Source organism: Homo sapiens, chromosome 1, assembly GCF_000001405.40.
Source record: "Homo sapiens chromosome 1, GRCh38.p14 Primary Assembly".
In the NCBI taxonomy this organism is placed as follows: domain Eukaryota; kingdom Metazoa; phylum Chordata; class Mammalia; order Primates; family Hominidae; genus Homo; species Homo sapiens.
In genome coordinates this window covers 98,765,520-98,785,540 of record NC_000001.11, presented here as the reverse complement: position 1 = coordinate 98,785,540, position 20,021 = coordinate 98,765,520, and the positions used below count along the sequence as shown (strand labels likewise).

Below are 20,021 nucleotides of genomic sequence, written 5' to 3'. Positions count from 1 at the left end.
GTCCGCTGTTAGTCTGAAAGGCTTCCCTTTGTAGGTGACGTGGCCTATCTCTCTTGCTGCTCTTAATAGTTTTTCCTTCATTTTGACCTTGGAGAATCTGATGATTATGTGCCTTGGGGTTCATCTTCTCATGGAGTATCTTAGTGGTGTTCACTGTATTTCCTGAATTTGCATGTTGGTCTATCTTGCTAGGTTGGGGAAGTTCTCCTGGATAATATCCTGAAGTGTGTTTTCCAGCTTGTTTCCAGTCTCCCCATCTCCTTCTGGTACTCCAATCAATCATAGGTTCGGTCTTTTTATGAAGTCCCATATTTCTTAGAAGCTTTGTTTATTCCTTTTCATTCTTTTTTCTCTAGTAAGGTCTGCATGCCTTATTTCAGCAAGATGGTCTTCAAACTCTGATATCCTTTCTTCCACTTGGTCAATTCAGCTATTGATACTTGTGTATGCCTCGCAAAGTTCTCGTGCTGTGTTTTTTCAGCTCCATCAGGTCATTTATATTCCTCTCTAAACTGGTTATTCTAGTTAGTAATTCCTCTAATCTTTTATCAAGGTTCATAGCTTCTTTGCATTGGGTTAGAACATGCTCCTTTAGCTCAGCATAGTTTTTTATTACTCATCTTCTGAAGCCTACTGCTGTCAGTTCATCCATCTGATCCTCCGTCCAGTTCTGTACCCTTGATGGAAAGACATTGTGATCATTTGGAGAAGGGGCACTCTGGCCTTTTGGGTTTTCAGCATTTTTTCGTTGATCCTTTCTCATCTTCGTGAGTTTGTCTAGTTTCGGTCTTTGAGGCTGCTGACCCTTGGATGGGGTTTTTGTGGGGGATTTGTTGTTGTTGATGATGATGATGATGATGATGATGCTGTTGTTGCTTTCTGCTCATTTGTTTTTCTTTCAATGATCAGGTCCCTCTTCTGTAGGGCTGCTGCAGTTTTCTGGGGGTTCACTTCAGGCCGTATTCATCTGATTCACTCCAGAGCCTGGAGATGTCACCCAAGGAAGCTGGAGAACAGCAAAGATGGGTGCCTCCTCTTTGTTCTGGGACCTCTGACCTTAACGGGCACCAACCTGATGCCAGTAGGATGGCTTCTGGTGTGTTCCTCGCTGAGGGAAAACCCACTCATCTGGGCTGCCCAGATTCCTCAGAACTACCAGGAGGAAAGGCTAAGTCTGCTGGTCCGCAGAGACTGCAGCCACCGCTCCCACTAGGGGCTAATGCCCAGGGGGATCCAGGTTCTGTCCCTGAGCCTCTGGCTGGAGTTATTGGAGTTCCTGCAGGGAAGCCCCATCCAACGAGGAAGGATGGGTCAGGGTCAGGCCCGAAGAGGCACTCTGGCCACAGACTGCCACAACTGGTGTGTTAGGCTGTGGGGGACAAGTCTTAGGACCAAGCCATCCAGCCTCCCTGGCTCCAGCAGGCGAAAATCACAGTCTGGGACTATAGAGATGGTTGCTGCCCTTCCCCCGCCCAGGGAGCTTAGGCAGTTGCAAGTCCCAGTGCTGGTGGCTGCCCCTCCCCCAAGGAGCTCAAATGGCTTAGATGGCAGGCAGCCACAGTCCAGTGATGCTGGTTGCCCCTCTCCCTGAGAGTTTAGTAGGCTTGAGCAAATTCCAGCTGAGAGGCTAAGAGTCTGCGCGTTCCAGGGTTGGGATGCCAGGCCCCGGTGGTGTGGGTTTGTGAGTGGGATCTTTCAATCCATGGGTTGCAAAGTTCCATGGAAAAAGTACGGTTTCCCTGCCTGGGTAGCATGCTCACTCACCACTTCCCTTGACTGTGGAGAGGGGCTCCCCGATCCCATGTGGCTCTCAGGTGGGCCACTGCACCACACTGTTCTTCCTTCTCTTCATGGGTCACGTCAGCCTCCTAGTCAGTTCTGATGAGAGAATCTGGATTCTTTGGTTGCTGGTGAAGGATTCACATGCTTATTATGGTTTTTTTTTTATGGTTGCCTCTGAACACAACTGTTTCTAGTAGACCATCTTGGCTCCACCCCCAATTATACTATTTTCTATTCTCACTAGCAGTATATGAGGGTTCAGTTCCTCCATTTTTTTGTCAGCACTTGATATGTTCTGTCTTTAGTTTAATCCATTGTAATAGGTATGCGGTGTTATTTAATTGTGGTTTTAATTTGCATTTTTAAATAACTAACAGAATTGTTTATTATTTCATTTCTTATTTGCCATAAAGGTATATTTTATTTGGTGAAGTATCTATTCAAATCTTTTGACTATATTTAATAAGCAAATTGTTTCTCTTTTATTGAGTTTGGGGAGGATATAAATTAATGATATATTTTTAAATTTTCTGTTTATCATTGGTTTTTACAATTGGATTATAGGCTTGGTTTGGTGGATGACACCTGGAATTTCAGTGCTTTGGGAGGCTGAGGAGGCAGGATCACCTGGGGCCAGGAGTTCAAGATCAGTCTGGACAACACAGTGAGACTGGGTTTATACAAAAAAATTTTAAAATTAGCCAGGTGTGGTAGCATATCTATGTAGTCCTAGCTACTTAGTAGGCTGAAGTGGGAGAATTACTTGAGCCCAGGAGTTTGAGGCAGCAGTGAGCTATGGTTGTGCCACTGAACTTTAGCCTGGGTGACAGAGAGAAAAAAAAAAAAGGGTGACTCAAAAAAAAAATTTTTAATTAAAAAACCCAATTAATTGGATTATGATGAACTGTGTTTGTTATAATTGTCTTCATGTTTCTTGAATTTGGGGTTCATTGTGATTCTTGGATCTGTGAGTTTACTGTTTTCATCAAATTTGAAAATTTTCAAACTTACTTTCTTCAATATTTTTTCTGTCTCTCTCCTTGCTTTGGCCACTTACTTACAAGCATGTTAGACCACTTGAAATTGTCTCATATCTATATAGTCCATTCATTTTTTTAAAAAATATTATCCTTTATTTTTGTGTTTTATCTTGATGGTTTTTATTTTCATGTCAACATGTTTACCAATATTTACATCTGCAATGTTGCATTTGTCATTAATCCCATCCAATATATCATTCCCCTCACACATTTTAGTTTTCCTTTCTAGAAATTCCATTTTTGTCTTTCTTATAAATTCCATTTCTATACTTAATATTTGAACATATATAATAGTTATATAACTGTTTTATGTCTTTATTTGCTAATTGTAATGTCTAAGTCAGTTGTGGTTTTCAGTTGATATTTCCTCTCATTATAAATCATATTTTTGTACTATCTTGCCAGTTTATAATATTTTATTGAATTCCTGACATTGCAAACTTTACTTTGTTGGATGTTAAATGTTTTTGGATTCCTATAGATATTCTTGAGCTTTGTTCTTGATACATGAGTAATTTATTTGGATACTGTTGGAGCTTCCTTTTAAGGTTTGTTATGCGTGACTGGAAAGGTGTTTTAGCTTAATTATTTCCTACTATTGAAGACAGGTCAGTGTGCTTTACCCAGTGTTCCATGAAACATGAGATTTTTCCAGTTTGGCCGGTGGGAATGGGTGATATGTCCAGCCTTGAGTCACTTCTAGGCAATGTCACTTTTAGTCTATTTAGTCAGTTTTTTCCTCTGTCCTTGGGTGGTCTCCTCATACATGGGCACTCAGTAGCACTCTGCTAAAGACATGGAGGGGCTTGCTGTTGACCTCTGGAGTTCTCTCTCTGTGAAGCCCTCTCTTCTCCAGCAGACTATCCCACATACTCTCAGCTCTGTCTCTTCAACTCAGAGAATTGGCCCGGCTCTGCCTAGATTCTGCATCCCTATACTATGTCCTGAAACACTCTTGAAGGCAATAAGATAGGGAAATAACAGGGCTCACATCATTTTCCCCTGTCTCTCAGAGATCATTGTCCTACATTGCTTGATGCTAGTGTTTTGATAACTTTTGTTTCATATATTTTGTCAATTTGTTTATTTTTCAGGTTGGGTGAAGTGTATGTCCCTAAGTGCATTCATTTTTCTTCTAAATGATAACTTCGTAAGTCTCAGAATTCTAAATAATGAATAAAATATTCCCATAGCAACTGTTACGTCTAACCAACCATGTAGACCCAAATCTTCCTTTGTAAAATACTTCACATAAGAAAACCTCAAAACAAAAACAAAACAAAAAAAATGATGGCTTCAACCAGAATTGTTTTTTGTTGTTGTTGTTAAGGAGCATTGCTTTGAATAAATATTTCTCACTTTATCTTTTGAAAAATTGCCTTTTAAAATTAATATTTTAATACTATTCTTGAGTAGCTATGTTTATTAAAGCACTAGATATTAATTTTGATTTTTCATTGCCAACTTAAAGCTGTTCTCAATAGACTATAGAGATAAATTCAGAAACTATTGGTTTTACATTTTATTCTTTTTTGAAATTTAGGATACTTCTCTGCAAACTTAATTTTAGAAAAATATTTGAATATTTTTTAAAAGCACAGTAAAGCAATGGCAATATTTTCTAATAACACATAATTTTTGTGTGGAGAAAACTTACTAACTTATAAACCTTCAAATCAGTTGCTTAGACTATACCTGCAGGTAAAATGAGCTATTTGGCCTGAATTGACTGCTTGGTTGTTCAAAATCCCTGAAAATTCAGTTAAATTGGTTGGATCATTACATAGTATGAAACTGGCAGATTGCTTATTCAAAAATGGTTGAATTGGCTGTATGTGGAGCTATAACATGAATCTGGAATAGTAGTCTCATGCTGGGTGCTAAGGGTACTAGAAAGAACTAAGAAAACATTTGTGAATATTTTTTATCCCATAATTATGCTGTTTTTCATCAAAGGACTTTGAAGTTACAATAGTATTAATCTCCTTAAATCTAAGGTGTGTATGTCATTAGAGAAATGATGCTGGGTACTTGCAAATTGTCCATGGCATGTATTATAGACATAATAGTAAATGAGAGGAAATCACAGCGAGAACTTAGAATTATCCCATTTACACAATAAATAGAACACCTGTTATAACTAAATTAAACACACACCAGCAAGAAACTGGCCCAATCTTTACCCAAGGACCACTGAAAAGCTTAAACAGAAACCTCAAATGGCATTCAATAAATAGATTAGTATATTCATGCTAGATTTACAAGGTATACCTCAGCACTTCTTGTCACTGAAAAGTCAGTAAGCGTTACAGTTACCAATAGACCTGCTTAAAACTTCTTCCTAAAAGTAAGAACGGAGGTTTTTGCTTAGGATGTTATTTGGGGGATTAAGAGATTTAGACAAAGCTTAACTGGGAAGAATAGTATAGTTTCTTTGAAATCTTGTAGTTTAAAGCTGAGTTGACAATTGCACATTCACTAGTTTAGTTTCTTTCCTAACTCTGAATGATTTTGCTAAGAAAGAAGAATGCAGGCCGGACTGAGCATTAGAAAAGAAATATCATGATATAAAATGAGGGCTGAGGTAAAGGTGAGGGTAAATGACTATCCAAATGTGATATCTCATAGATCCAATTAACTTTAGAGTTAGAAAATAGTGAAACAGCCAGCTCATATTCCCTAATTTTGCAGATATTCTAGGAAGTGAAGCGACTTCACATGAACACAGGATAAAAGTCCACCCAAACAGACTGATTGTTAGCAGTTCTCAAAGACTTACCAGGTAGATCACCAAATTTGTGGACACTGATAGTTCCCCTTCCCTGAGGTTCAACAGGGTTTCTAAAGGTGAGGGAGGCTGGCTGTCGCTGGCAGCACGCAGTGCTTCTTTCTGCCTCTACATAGTGTGGCTGGCACTCTTTCTATCTTCCAAGGGACTTCGCTGAGAAAGCTCCACTGCTTCCCATCACTGTAGATCTAATGTTTCAGAGAAACATAAAGTGACTGATGCTTCCAAAATAAATTCTTGATTTCTTAGACTGGGGAAGGGAACTTAGGGGCATGGTTGAGAGCACTGACTTAGGTGTGAATCACACTGATTGTTTTGTGAAATTGTATGAGCTATTTCACTTCTCCAAGGCTTACTTTCCTTATGTGAATAAATACAATAATTGTTCCAGTTTCATAATACTGAGAAGGAATAATCACATGTAAGATGCTTAACCCAGTATCTGTCAAAAAATATTATCCGTTGTCACAATAAAATAGCATTGCTCATCTCCTATGTTTCTTTACCTGGAAGAGCATTGTTGTCTGGTAGACCCTTATTTTACTCTAGATTCACAATGGGGGGAAATGACATTTTTATAGATTACAAAGTTATTGAGGCAGCCGTGGAAAAAATTGTCACACATCAAGTGTGAAGTATTGTAAACACATCATAATGAAATCAACACCATATTATTACAAACTTCTCTTTCATATTTATCTGGGGTCACAGGTTTCTCAAAGGACTGTGGGCTTGAAAATATAGTGTCAATGGAGCTTCAATGCCAGTCTAATGGTGATGGCAATGACCCATAAGATTCTGGAGTTGGGACTGGGTGTGGTGGCTCATGCCTGTAATACCAGCACTTTGAGAGGCCAAGCTAGGCGGGAGTTTGAGACCTGAGGTCAGGAGTTCGAGACCAGCCTGGCCAACATGCTGATACCCCATATCTACTAAAAATACAAAAATTAGCCAGGCGTGGTGGCTCGCACCTGTAATCCCAGCTACTTGGGAGGCTGAGGTAGGAGAATCGTTTGAACCCAGGAGGCGGAGGTTGCTGTGAGCTGAGATCGTGCCACTGCATTCCAGCCTGGGCTACAAGAGCAAAATTCCATTTCAAAAAAAAAAAAATGTGGAATTGGGAAAAATGTCTTTCTGCACTTCTTTACCCTCTTCACATCCTCTTTTTCCTCAAACAAGCTGGATTCAAAGAAGGGCTGGGAGCCGTGTGGCTTGTTGGTAACAGCTCCTGAAAACTCAATGTAGCAGTGTAATAGGAGAGAATGAAATGGTAAAAGAGAAAAGTGAGAATCACTGAATTAATTCAGTCAAGTGTCTCTTTGCTTCCTGTACTAGAACTAGAGTCAATGTATGTTGGAATAGTAATCACTTATATAAATTATGTTTCTCTTATTTCTGTTTAAAGAACTTTGAGTGAATGAATTATTAAATTATTGAATGAAGGTGAGCATGATATAAACAAATTTATTCTTCTCCATAAGATTTGTTTGGACATGGTGCAAAATGAATGGCTCTCAGCTTTCAGAAAGAGTGTTCCCTGCACAGTGTGCCTCCCTTTTTCTGCTGAGCCACATGTGACAAGAAAACACAATTAAATTTTCAGTTGGGTTTTGCATTTTTCTGATCTTCTAACAACTGGGTGTCAGATATCTCAATGCATAACCACCCACTCACAACAAGATTATACATTAGACTCTTTGTTATCTACTTTTATGAAGGATTTCTGAATGCTAAAAGGAATAAATTAACTGTGCCAAATCTGTAATAAAGTTGTTCTCTCTATCTGATTGTTAATATTTCCACGATTGTACAGTAATCCTCATCAAGGACAAGAGTATTTACATCATCCTAAAAGAAGGACACAGAAAGGAATATAAAATGCATTTGATTCTTGGAACTATATATCCATATTTGCTCTAGACTAAATATCACAATAGTATCTAATAGCCAGGTGTAAAATAACTATTAGAATAAATCTTTCCAAATATAATGAGAATACAAACCAGGAATGCAAAATCAAATAAAACCATTTTATTTAAATTTCTCAGATTTTAATAATCTGATACCTAGGTTTTCTTCTAAGTGCTATTATAGTGTTAATATCCCTGTGCCCACACTTGGTAGAAAGGTACTTGCTGGTGACTGCCTGTGAGCAGAGAGGTTCATCTTTTCCAACATTAACTCCATCACCAATGAGAGTGACTGGCACACATACTCAAAACATACTGTTTATTATTGAATCAAATAGTACATAAATCATAAACTGTGAATTATGGAGATTAATATACATTTTAAATAAAAATAATAGCTACAATGTTTGGAATAGTCTCAATGGGTAGGCTGCTTCCATGTATATCATATCTTTTCAAAGTCATAAATACACGATAATATGTTAGCATGATCACTTTGAAGATTTGAACATAAGCAAACTTTTAAAATTTTCAATTTAAAAATGATTTAACATAATTTGTGCAGAAAGGCAGAGGATATATCACACGATCTGTTACCTGTGACCACTCTGATATCATCCCCAGCACTCTTCCCCTCCCTCATTCACATTGCTCCAATCATCCTGGCTTCCCTGTTGTTCTTGAAGACACCAAGTTTAATGTTGGCTTAGGGTATTGGTATTTACTGTTCCCTCTCCTGAGATATTCCTTCCTCTGTACCCGCAAGACTGGCTTCATCACTACTTCATATATATCATTGTCTTCTCAAAGAGACAGTCACTGACTACCCTGTGTCATATAGCTGCCCCACTCTCTAACCCCTTGCCTTGATACAGTTTTCTTCACTGTACTTGTTGCCATCATATTAAATACTTGCCCGTTTGTTTACTCTAGATCTCTTTCCACTAGAATATAAGCTCCAAGAGAGCAGACTTTGTCATTTTCTTCACCACTGGCTCCTCCCAGTGTATAATAGTGCCTGGCACATAGTATCATTCAATAAGTACATAAGTATTTCTTAAATAAATGACTCAATTGGTTGCTCTTATTTACTTAAAAATATATTTTACATGTGTTACGAATAAATTCATTTGGACTTTCTTAGTTCATTATAGATTAGAAACAAAACTCCAAAACAATGGTCTAATTCTGACTTTCTTGAGACATATTTTGAGAATATTTTGCAAAAATGATCACCAGTACTCATCACTGCTATGGATTTGCCTAAGGAGAAAAGGGATACCTCAATTTACTATGTTAACTTAACCCAGGAAATGTTGAGATATACAGAGCCCCACAATTCCAACACTCATTAGCCACGCAAATTAAGTTTTTCATAAAAATTTTAGTGAACGCAAAAGGTTATTGTGGAAAAAAAATTCTAGTGATTGTATTTCTGTTGCTGTGTGCCAGGCATTGTATTTAGTACTTGACATGTATTAACGTATTTAATTCTCACTTCAGAGCTCTCTGAGGCACTATTATCACGCTATTTGTTATGGGCTGAATTACATCCCCCTCAAAATTCATATGTTGAATTTCCAACCTCAGTACCTCAGAATGTGACTGTATTTGGAGTTGGGTCTTTAAAAAAATGAGTTAGGTAAAATGAACTCATATAGGTGATCTCTAATCCAATATGACCAACATGCTTATAAGAAGAGGAGATTAGGACTCAGACAACACACAGACTATGAGGCATTGTAGTAGTTAAGAGTTCTCCAGAGAAACAGAACCAATGGGATTTTATATACAGATGGTGCCTGGCTTACAATGGTTTGATTTAGGGTTTTTCAACTTTATGATGGTGTAAAAGCAATAGGTATTCATTAGAAACCATACTTCGTGCAGCCATGCACTATTCTGTTTTTCACTTTCAGTACAATATTCAATAATTTATATGAGCTATTTAATATTATATTATATAATAGGCTTTATGTTAGATGACTTTGCCTAACTGTGGGCTGAGGTAAGTGTTCTCAGAGCATTTAAGGTACGCTAGACTAAGATATCTCTTCAGTAGGTTAGGTGTAATAAATACATTTTTGACATAGGATATTTCAACTTATGATGGGCTTATCAGGATATAACCCCATTGTAAGTCAAGGAGATTTATTTGAAGGCTCTCAAGATTATGAAGGCTGCCAAAAAAAAAAAAAAATCTGCAGGGTGGGCCAGCAGGCTTGAGACCTAGGAAAGAGGCAATGTTGCAGATGAAGGTCCAAGGCAGTCTGCTGGCAGAATTTCCTCTTGCCCAGGTCAAGTCAGTCTTTTGTCCTATCCAGGCCTGCATCACCAAAAACAATATATTTTATTCAAAGGTCATGCACTTAAATGTAAATGCCATCCAAAAACATTCTGAATAACATTTGACCAACTCTCTGGGCACCATAGCTCAGCCAAGTAGACACATAAAATTAATCATCACAAGTCCACTCCATGTGAACTTGGTGCCCACACACATCTTTAACCATACAGTAATCCCCCCAGACTCATTGTTTTGATTTCCTTGGTTTCAGCTACTCAAGTCAACCATGGTCCTAAAATATCAAATTAAAATTACAGAAATAATCAATTCATAAGTTTTAAATTGAACACTGTTCCGAGTAGTGTGCTGAAATCTCACACCATCCCACTCTGACCCCGAGACGTGAATCCTCCCTTTGTCCAGCATGTCCACTGTCTATTCTCTCTGCCCATTAGCCACTTAGTAGCTAACTTGGTTATCAAATAGACTGTCATGGTTTACAGTGCTTGTGTTCAAGTAACCCTTATTTTACTTAATAGTGGTCCCAAGGCGCAAAAGTAGTGATACTCGCAATTTGGGTATGCCAAAGAGAAGTTATAAAGTACTTCCTTTAAGTGAAAAAGTAGAAGTTCTTGACTTAATAAGGAAAGAAAAAAAACATATGCTGAGGTTGTTAAGATCTACAGTGAAAATGCATGTTCTATCTGTGAAATTGTGAAGAAGTGAAAAGAAATTCATGCATACTATTTATAGGTTTGGGATTATCCTCAGTTTCAGGCATCCACTGGGGGTGCTGGAACGTATCTGCCACAGATAAGGGGGCTACTGTACTTTAATCTCCAATAAAGACAATAACAAGGTCATACTTCCATCTAGCATAACACAACTGTCCTGTGTACAACTGAAAATGCACTAACTCTTTTCCCAGAAAAGGATGTGAAGTCCTTACATGATGTTTACTCTTCTTGATATCTTGTAATTTAAATATTATGATATGAAGTCAACAATACTTAATACTATGACATGAAGTCAATACATCTTATATCACATAATAAGGGGAAAAAAGGGAAGAAAACAAAGATACTATATATTATATATATAAATACATACATATGTATGTGCATATATACAAACAAACATATTGATAACAAAATAAGGAAGAAATACTCATGACAATTACAGTACATAGTTCTGTAACTGGTCACATGGTCATAGCTGAGATCTATAATTACCTTATTTCACTGCCCATTCTGCATTCTAGCACCTCAGCTGGTCATAGTTCCTTCCCTGGCGGGGTGACCCAAACCTTCATTCCTGAAGGGTCTGGGCCATTAGCAGTTCTATCTGGATTGGGTTATTTTTCCATTGATCTTAATCAATGTATAGTAATATATTGATTAAGGTATAGTAATACTAGGAGAAACCCTAAGGGATCTCTTGTATTGGACGGACTCTTACTTAGTGTCAGTCCAATTTCTCCTTGGTATAATAGTTAGGATCAATCACCCCAGCTAACACAGTAACTCCTGTATTTGCCTATTGATTCAGAGGCATGAGTAGCCTAAAGTGGTTGGGTGGTAGTCTTAACTGCTGGTTCAATGGGATCATTGTTATCTGTCCTGGTGGAAGCATTCCCCCATTTGGAACTGAGACCTCTAGGCAAGCAGAGCACAAGGTTACAGGAACAGAAAGCATATATTTTGCTAGTTGGTTATAAATGGTGCTGCTCCCATTTCTACCCCTTGATTCCTGGACATTTGAGTGTCTGCTGTGGAAGAAACAACATGATATATTGCACACTAATTTAGAGTATGTACAGCCTCTTGCAGAATATTGACCCAGCCGGGCAAGGTACCACCCCTCAGATGTTGCTGAAACTGAGTCTTCAAAAGGCCATTCCACTATTCTATCAAGCCAGCTGCTTCAGGATGGTGGGGAACAGTTCACCATGTGTGGACACAGTGAAAAAGTGGCAATCCTTAAAAACAAAAACAAGAAGATAGGACTCAGAAGAAACCAAACCTGCTGACACCTTGATCTTGGACTTCTAGTCTCCAGAATTATGGTCTATTGTTATAGCAGCCCTAGCAAACCAATGCACTATTTTGATAGATAGATAGATAGATAGATAGATAGATAGATAGATAGATAGACAGATACATAGATGCATAGATACATAGATAGATACACAGATAGATAAAAACCCTGAGACTCAGAAAAACTGATAAATTTGCCTAAAGTAACACAGATAATAAATGATTAATTCGTAACCTCAGAGCCCTCATTCTTGACCATTAGTTAAGAGAGCACCCGGTTGCCTTATCTGCATAACTAATGTCAAGTACTTCTGTGGTTTTGATTATGCTCGGCACATTAGGTGGTCAACAATTAATAATTGGTGATAAATTTGTTCACCAGTCTTTTCAAGGATTGTCAAGCAAATTAATATCTAGGAGGCATGAAGCTGTAAAGAAAAATACTTGTTCTACGTGTAAGAGGGAAGAGAATATGGGGCATTCATTTCTTGAGTGACATAAAATTTAGAGAACATTTTTGAGAAAATTTTTACTTTATGAAGAAAATTTTGAAAACTTCCAATGACTTAGCGGCCCAAGCTGGCCCATGTGCTGAGGCTGAGGTGTATCCACCAGTCAACAGTGCAAAAAGCAAACACAAAATCTCCAGGTGCTTCTGAATTATTTCAGGAGCAAGGTGCCTCAGATTCTTAGCTGAGGTCAGGGCAGCTTCACACATTTGTTCCCTCTGAGAAAAGAGTTCTTTTTAAAAGATTTGGCAAATGTTTACTTGGAAAACTCTTCAGCTTAGTAATAGTTGGGGCTGTAATTTACTCAAAATGGACAGAGAACAGCCAAAGAAGAAGAGAAGCATCTTCATTCAGAATGTAAAATGTAAAAAACAATCGATACCAAGTGGGAAGGAGGAAAGATTTATATCTGAAAAGAGTAATTAGGTATTATCCCTCCCTAAACCATTATATAACATATAATCTATAATACATAAAGCTATAAATACACTATATATACACATATATATCTTTCCCAGATATTGAATATCTTTCATGTATTATTGACTATTATTTCCCCACCCATCTTGTATATGTAGAGCAATGCTTTAAAAATATAAAAAAATTAACTTTTAGTTTTCTAAAAAATAAACTTTCCTATTTACTGTCAGACTAGCAATATATATATATATTTTTAAGATACAGAGTTTCACTCTGTCACCCAGGCTGGAGTGCAGTGGCACAATCATAGCTCACTGCAGCCTCAACCTCCTAAGATCAAGCAATCCTCCTGCCTCAGCCTCCTGAGTAGCTGGGACTGTGGTGTATACCACCACACCCAGATAATTTTTGTATTTTTTTGTAGAGACAGGGTCTTGTTATGTTGTTCAGACTTATCTTCAACTGGTCTCAAGTGATCCTCCCACCTCGGCTTCACAAAGCACTGGGATCACAGGTGTAAGCCAGCATGCCCAACCTGATCCTTAATTTTAAAAGCTTTTTGTGGATGTGTACTTTGCACTGAGCTTGCGCTGATGATGAACGACAACCAAAGGGGTTGGCTCCTATATAGAGCAAGGAAATGCCTCCTATATAGAGCAAGGAAACTGTAAATAAAGCATCTCCCTTTCCACCTCTTTGCCATTTACTTGATGTAATTAAGAAAGATGGCATTAGATGCTTGTATACTATCCGGAGTAAGGCAGCCAGACACTGAATATTAGGAGGAAAGTTATTTTAAGGAGTAAGGAGATTCACTTGAAACCATGTTTGGCTATGGAAGTGAGAGTACGAAGAGAGGGGATGAACAGTTCTAATTCTGACTCTGTTTTCAAATAACTGGAACCAGGGCCCACTGTATAATGTGTGGATGAAATACTGCAATATGAAAACACTGGGCCTTTTTTTCAAGAATTACTAACATTTCCAAGACTGTGGCAGCAGAGCATTAAACCAAGTGTCGGGCCCTGGTAAGCCTAGGAACCTGCATAACGAAACAGGTCACATACTGTGTCCAAAGACCTGGATTCACAATTTATTTGTGAATTCAGGAACTGATTTGCTAAGTTAGCTTGTCTCCATGGTCCCATCCAGAATTTAGAATTCCACATCATGACAGTATAACATCTTATGTTTCTTATATGGAAAAGGTTATAACCTTCACTTGCTGTAACAGAATTTGATGATGTTTTTCTCTAAAAGTGAATTACTCACCAAAATATCTTCCAGTATTTATAGCATCCTTGCCTTAAAGAAAAAAAAACAATAATCTCATAAACGAAATTTTTGATTTCTATCACATATTTCTAAAGAAACACGAAGTAATCTTGTCTGTTAGAATTTGCATAAGTCCTTCTAGAAGGAAAAAAAATGCAGCTATTACGTATTTTGAATCTTAAAATTTAAAGTTTAGAAGCAGATGTTATAGTTCTTTGGTTGTATTTAAGCCTTCATTAAAGGATACAAATTATGACATCAAGCCACTTTGAGTTTTTTATGTTTTTGTAATATGATAATTAAATTAAAGGGTTTTCTCTCCAGGAAAGTATTGATTTTAGCACAATTCTCTCTCTCTTGAAATATTAGAATCTGAATTCCTTTAAAGGGGGATGTGTTACATTATGACAGAAATATACAGGAGCATGAAATACCAAGAGAAAGAATGATTATAAGAAATGAATAAAGGGGAAAGAGGAATGGAGAAAGGAAGGGAAAAAGGTAAGTTACTGTGATGCTATTCTAAGGAGTGTTTATATTTTATATTAAAGAATATTCAAAAGTAAAATTATGAGACTGCAATGGTGATTCAGAAGAAATAGTGGGGAAAGAATCTATAAGACCTTTGAGAGGAGCTCTGGGCAATCATGAAGTTTGGGATCAGGCTTGCAGACATTTCCTAAGACTCAGTCTTCAGGTCGGCAATTCACTGCAGCAGACTGACAGCAGTGAGAAATGGGATTTCTGTACTGTCCACTGGAGGTTGTGATGTATTACAGATACTGCTGGTTATCCACCCTATACCTAGACTTCCATTTTACCCTAGTAATGGAGCTCTAATTTTATTCTGTGGAAGCTGTGTGTAAAAATAAATACTAAATTATCCAGTATCCCTTAAAGGTAGGTGTGCTGTGTGACTGGCCATTGAATTTGTGGTGAAATCTGGCCACTGAATTATAAACAAAACTATTCATTATAGTTAGCATGTAATTCCTAATTGCTTAGTTCAGTAGGTCCATTTCCTATAAGTTCTCTTTGGAGCAATTCACTTTATGTTTTTATGTATCCTGAAACTCTGTCCTTCCTTAGCTTTCAAAATAAAAAATTCTGATTTTTTTCCTCTAATGTTTTAGACACTCTTTTCAAATATCTATTACCGCAAGTTTGGTTAAGATCACAGTAATCTCTAATGGGGACTACAGCAATAAATTCTAAATTACCATCTCAGCCTTTGGTTCAAATATAGCTCTTCAGTTTGTTATGCACTGAACATTTTCATATTTTTCTCTAATGGCATAGAACTAGTACAGTTTGCAGCTGAGAATATGACACAGAGAATTAGAGAAAAATTATTATTCCTGTGACTGTATTTTTCCCAGAATGATCTAAGCAGGTAGACTTCAAGAACAGTGGCACATGTTACAATAAATAAACGTAGCTATAAAGTGCCACAGGAGGATGCAGGGAAGAGTGATTCTTGGAGATAATAGGAAAATTCATCAACGACTGGATGATATTAAGGTGGGTCTTAAATGAGTAGGAGTTTGAAAGGCAGGAAGGAAGAACTCATCAATACAAGGAAAAACATGAGCACAATTACAGAAAAATGAAAGTGCAACTGTGTTTGGAGAATGCTAAGTCAGTCTACGTGATTGGACTTTAGAGGAGGTGAAAAGTATGGAAGGTCATTCAGACCAGTAGTCTTCAAACTAGCCTGGGGCTACAGAAGAAAATTTCCAGAAAGTACTCTGGTATGGGTAGTGTTTTTGGTTATCAGTTTCTAGATACTAAATTCCTAAATCTATTCTTTTCTAAAACTGTCCGCTTGAGAATATTCCTCCTTTCTAGAAGTCATACCTAATTTTCTTTCTTTCCGTTTTACAGTAGATGCTCTCTCACTTTAAAAAAGAGAGGCATAGCTCTTACACATCTGGAATTTTACTATGGCTAATTGCCTAAGAGTGCAAATCCACTAGTCGCTAAACAAAGAGAAAATTAAAATGTTTCTCATATATATATATGGGGTGTGTGTTTGTGCTGTGTAATTACAAATGCTGCATTCTTGTCAATGTTGCAATGTTCAGAATAATTTTGGGTGAGGTAGGGTTTATTTCATTTTCATTTAGTGACCTCAATCTCATCTGCCTCTGGAAGATCATCAAAGAATGCTTTGCTCCAGTGACCGTGTCTCATGAGAGCAAAGCAATAAGTCTGTTAAGAAATGCGGAAAGTTGTGATGCTTTATTTTATGCAAATGACAAGCTAGTAGCAAGGGTGAACTATCTATTTACCTATCTGTGCACCCATCCTCCCAGCTATCACCTATCTGTCCATGTAATGATCTTAAAATTCAGAAGGGAGATGATTCTCATGAAAATATGAATTTGTATGTTTATTTAAACTGAAATATAATGACTGACTTCACAATGAGGGCTGGTTTGATCAATTAGGTTATATGGCTGACATTTTCTATAAATTTCATGAGCTAAGTCTGTAACTCCAAAGTTTTGACAAAAAAACTTACAATACGTAAGAATAAAGCACTTTATCAAAAATTGTTGTCATAGCAAAGGTTTATTAAAATTAGCAATATTTAAATTTCCCTAACCTTTTCTATTAAACAAGGTGCCTCTAAAGTGAAAGAGTAAAAGATGAGTCATTGTCATTCAATAAGTTTTGGTAAAATCTGTGCTATTTTCCAGAAACTAAAAAGAGAAGAAAAACTCTGTGTGACAGTCACTTAGACAGCAGCTAAGTCTGTAGCTTAGCTCTTCTTCCAGGAGAGACCCTGTCATGAGAAGTGTAGTTAGCAGGCAGCCCCCGACTGCCACATCTTCAGATCCACTGCGATTTCCATGCAAACATCCTACTTTCCCCCAGACTGCTCTCAGCCAGTGACAGCCTGGCAGAGGTACCAGAGCTGGGGGTCACTTCTGCCAGGCCAGGATCCATAACAGAAAAGTTTTGCTCTGGGAATCTCTTTGGCCTAAGACTTTTTGAGAATTGTGCTGTATTCTGAGGCCCTCTGAACCAACTTTCTTCTCCTTTCACCTCTCCCCTCATAGATCCAGACTTGCATGGCAGTCTGAAGCCTTTCTCTGGCCCTGTCTTCTTTATCTCTTATACCCATAGTTTCTATCAATCTTTGACATTTCTAATTTTGTCTTGGAGTCTGCCTCCCAGTCTGAGACACTCTAATACCAGGGCATCAAATCCTTTTCTGATTATTTACTTTCAACAAAATTGAGAGAGAATCTAAGCAAAAGATCCTTTGCTAAACAGTAATTTTAAAAACTGGTAATACATCCAGGAGTAGGTTAAATAGAGTAAAAGTAATCTCATTCCCCTAGTTTGGAATTAGCTTAGAAACTCAGGCCTAGGCCAACTGTGTGACAAAATAGTCACAGGGATTTGTTCAGGATAGGCATAAATTTCAATTTGGAGAAATGAGACACAAGGAGAATGTTGGGTATTCTGGAAAAGAGTTTTCCTATTCTTAAAAAAGTAACCATTGGAAAAGATAACTTCCTGCTTCCTTTCTATACCATGTATATGGATACAAAATTAAAAGCCACCAAGTCACTTTCATACTGTAAGGAAAGGAAGCCAATAAGCAACATGCTCACAGACCAGGGAACTGCAGAGAAACAGGGGTGGAGCAATCAGATCAAGCTGATCTTAAAGCCCACTCTACTCAGTGACTTCCTAGTTAAATGAGGATACATTTTCTCTCCATTTTAACCTGCTAGAGTCAGTTCCCTATCACGGCCAAATGCATCCCACTTATTTGAGAGTGTTAGCCTTCCATGCCTCCACTTACATTGGAACCTGCCTGGAATCCACCTTGCCCCAGCTCCCTCCCATGTGCAGTGGATCCTGTCCTTTATGTCTCAGCTGCTTTCCTGGAATGGGGATGCAGTTGTTTATCTGGACATTGGGCTTTGCCTCTGCCTCAGCCTCCCACTTCTTATATTTTCTCTGTGGAAAGGGACCAATTTGGAAGTGAATACCAGCCTGAATCAAAGTCTACCTGGTCGTTTATTGGATTTTCTGCTTCTTTGTTTACCCAGCTACATTTCTGTCTCTAGCCCCTACAACTACCCTGTCAGTTAACGCTTTTGCGTCTCCGTGGATCGTTAAGATTTCAGAGACTATGGGCATATAAAGACAGACATATAAAATAATTAACTTTTAAGCTTATTCTGCTAATTTTCACTAATACATGCAAGTGTGCAAACATATTTGCATATATATTTTTGCACACATGCACATGTATATGGACATAGAGACATATCTATATATAGAGAAAAATGCCTTTCTATATATTTATGTCTGAATATCACGTTTGAAAGTTCTTATTATGATATATCCAGTGTATCATGGGTGAACTAATCTAAAGAACTAATCCGAATAAAGAGCTAATGCAGGGGTCTCCTAGGCCCCTACTGTCTCATGAGACATTTTCATTTCTGAAACTTGGGGACAATCTGTCTGGGGACAGTTCTAGAACACGAGTCAGTGGGGTGATTGGAGGCCTATGCCAGCAGCTATTTAGCAATTATTATCAAAGTATTTAAATGATTTGTTTTTCCTACTGGCATATGTCTCTGGATAGCATCAAATAGTTAAATAACAAGTATGGCTGTACTAGTACAAACCTCCCTGAATATGAACACTACTTATGACAATTTGAAGCCTGGTATCTTGAATTTCTATTAGTTCTACTGATGTTCTTATTTATGCTTTAGGTTTCCTAATTCTTCCGCTGTTCCTAGCTTCGTATGTTCTCCAATATCCCCACCTTTGTCACTCACTATAAAGGAGGTAATAAAAACCATATTGATTGAGTCCCTTAGAAGTTCACGCTATCCCCAACCAAGTTCTGGTAATCACTCACAATTCCTAAAAAAAAAACAAAAAAATAAACCAACAACAACAAATTCCGGTAAGTTTCAACAACTCATCTTGGAACTTCTTCTTTCTTGCTCACTACAGCCCAGACACCCTGGTTTTCTTTCACTTCCTCCTATGCATTAAGCTTTTTCCCATCTCTGGGCCCTTGCATGCATTGTTTCACTCAGCCACAATCTACTCCCCTTTGCCTGGTTTGTTCTTATTTTCTCGGTCTTAAGTCGTGCTTCACTGTCTACTCAATTTAAAATAGATGCTCCACATTATTACCTCTCTTACATCACAGCACTTCACACAATATGCAATTATGCATTGTTATGGGTTGAATTGTGTCTCCTTTCCAAAAAAACATATGTTGAAGTCCTAACCCTCAATACCTCAGAATGTGACCTTATTTCACTATGGGGTCTTTATAGAGGCAATCAAATTAAAATGATGTCATTAAGGTGGGCCCTAATCCAGTAAGACATGTGTCCTTGTGCCAAAGGGAAATTTGGACACAGGGACACAGAGGGAAGACAATGTGAGGACACACAGGGAGAAGATGTCCGTGCGATTGGAGTGATGCCTTTACAAGCCGAGGAATGCTGAGGATTGCTCGCAAACACCAGAAGCTAGAAGTGGCAAAGAAGGATTCACCCCTAGAACCATCAGGGAGAGCACAGTCCTGCAGACACATTGATTTCCCACTTCTAGCCTTGAGAACTGTGAGACAAGTGTCTATTGTTGTAAGCCACCCAGTTCTTGATACTTTTATAAGGCATCCCTAGGAAATAATATATGCATTAATCGAGATTTATTTATTATTTATTGTATGATGTCTGTCTCATTAGACTTTTAGCTTTATGAGAGTAGGGTATGTTTACTTATCATAATTATTTACAGCAACACAGAGGATGGTGTCTGGCACCTATTAGTAGTGGAGTATTTGTGGAATTAGTGAATTACTGAATAAGTGGATGCATGGATAATATTTTAATGCAAGGTCCTTCAAAAGAATTTAGAATCTCAGATTGTTCAAATAAACCACTTAAAAGCAACACTAATTTAATCTTAAAATCAG

The 20,021-nt window shown here is 37.8% G+C and overlaps 2 annotated features.

Moving 5' to 3' along the window:
- Positions 977–1,566: an enhancer, noted in NCBI's record as "H3K27ac-H3K4me1 hESC enhancer chr1:99249531-99250120 (GRCh37/hg19 assembly coordinates)". NCBI's record gives its function as "activates a minimal SCP1, AML or CMV promoter by ChIP-STARR-seq in primed H9 embryonic stem cells {active_cell/tissue: H9 hESC(primed)}" and the evidence as "EXISTENCE:reporter gene assay evidence [ECO:0000049][PMID:30033119]".
- Positions 1,567–2,156: an enhancer, noted in NCBI's record as "H3K27ac-H3K4me1 hESC enhancer chr1:99248941-99249530 (GRCh37/hg19 assembly coordinates)". NCBI's record gives its function as "activates a minimal SCP1, AML or CMV promoter by ChIP-STARR-seq in primed H9 embryonic stem cells {active_cell/tissue: H9 hESC(primed)}" and the evidence as "EXISTENCE:reporter gene assay evidence [ECO:0000049][PMID:30033119]".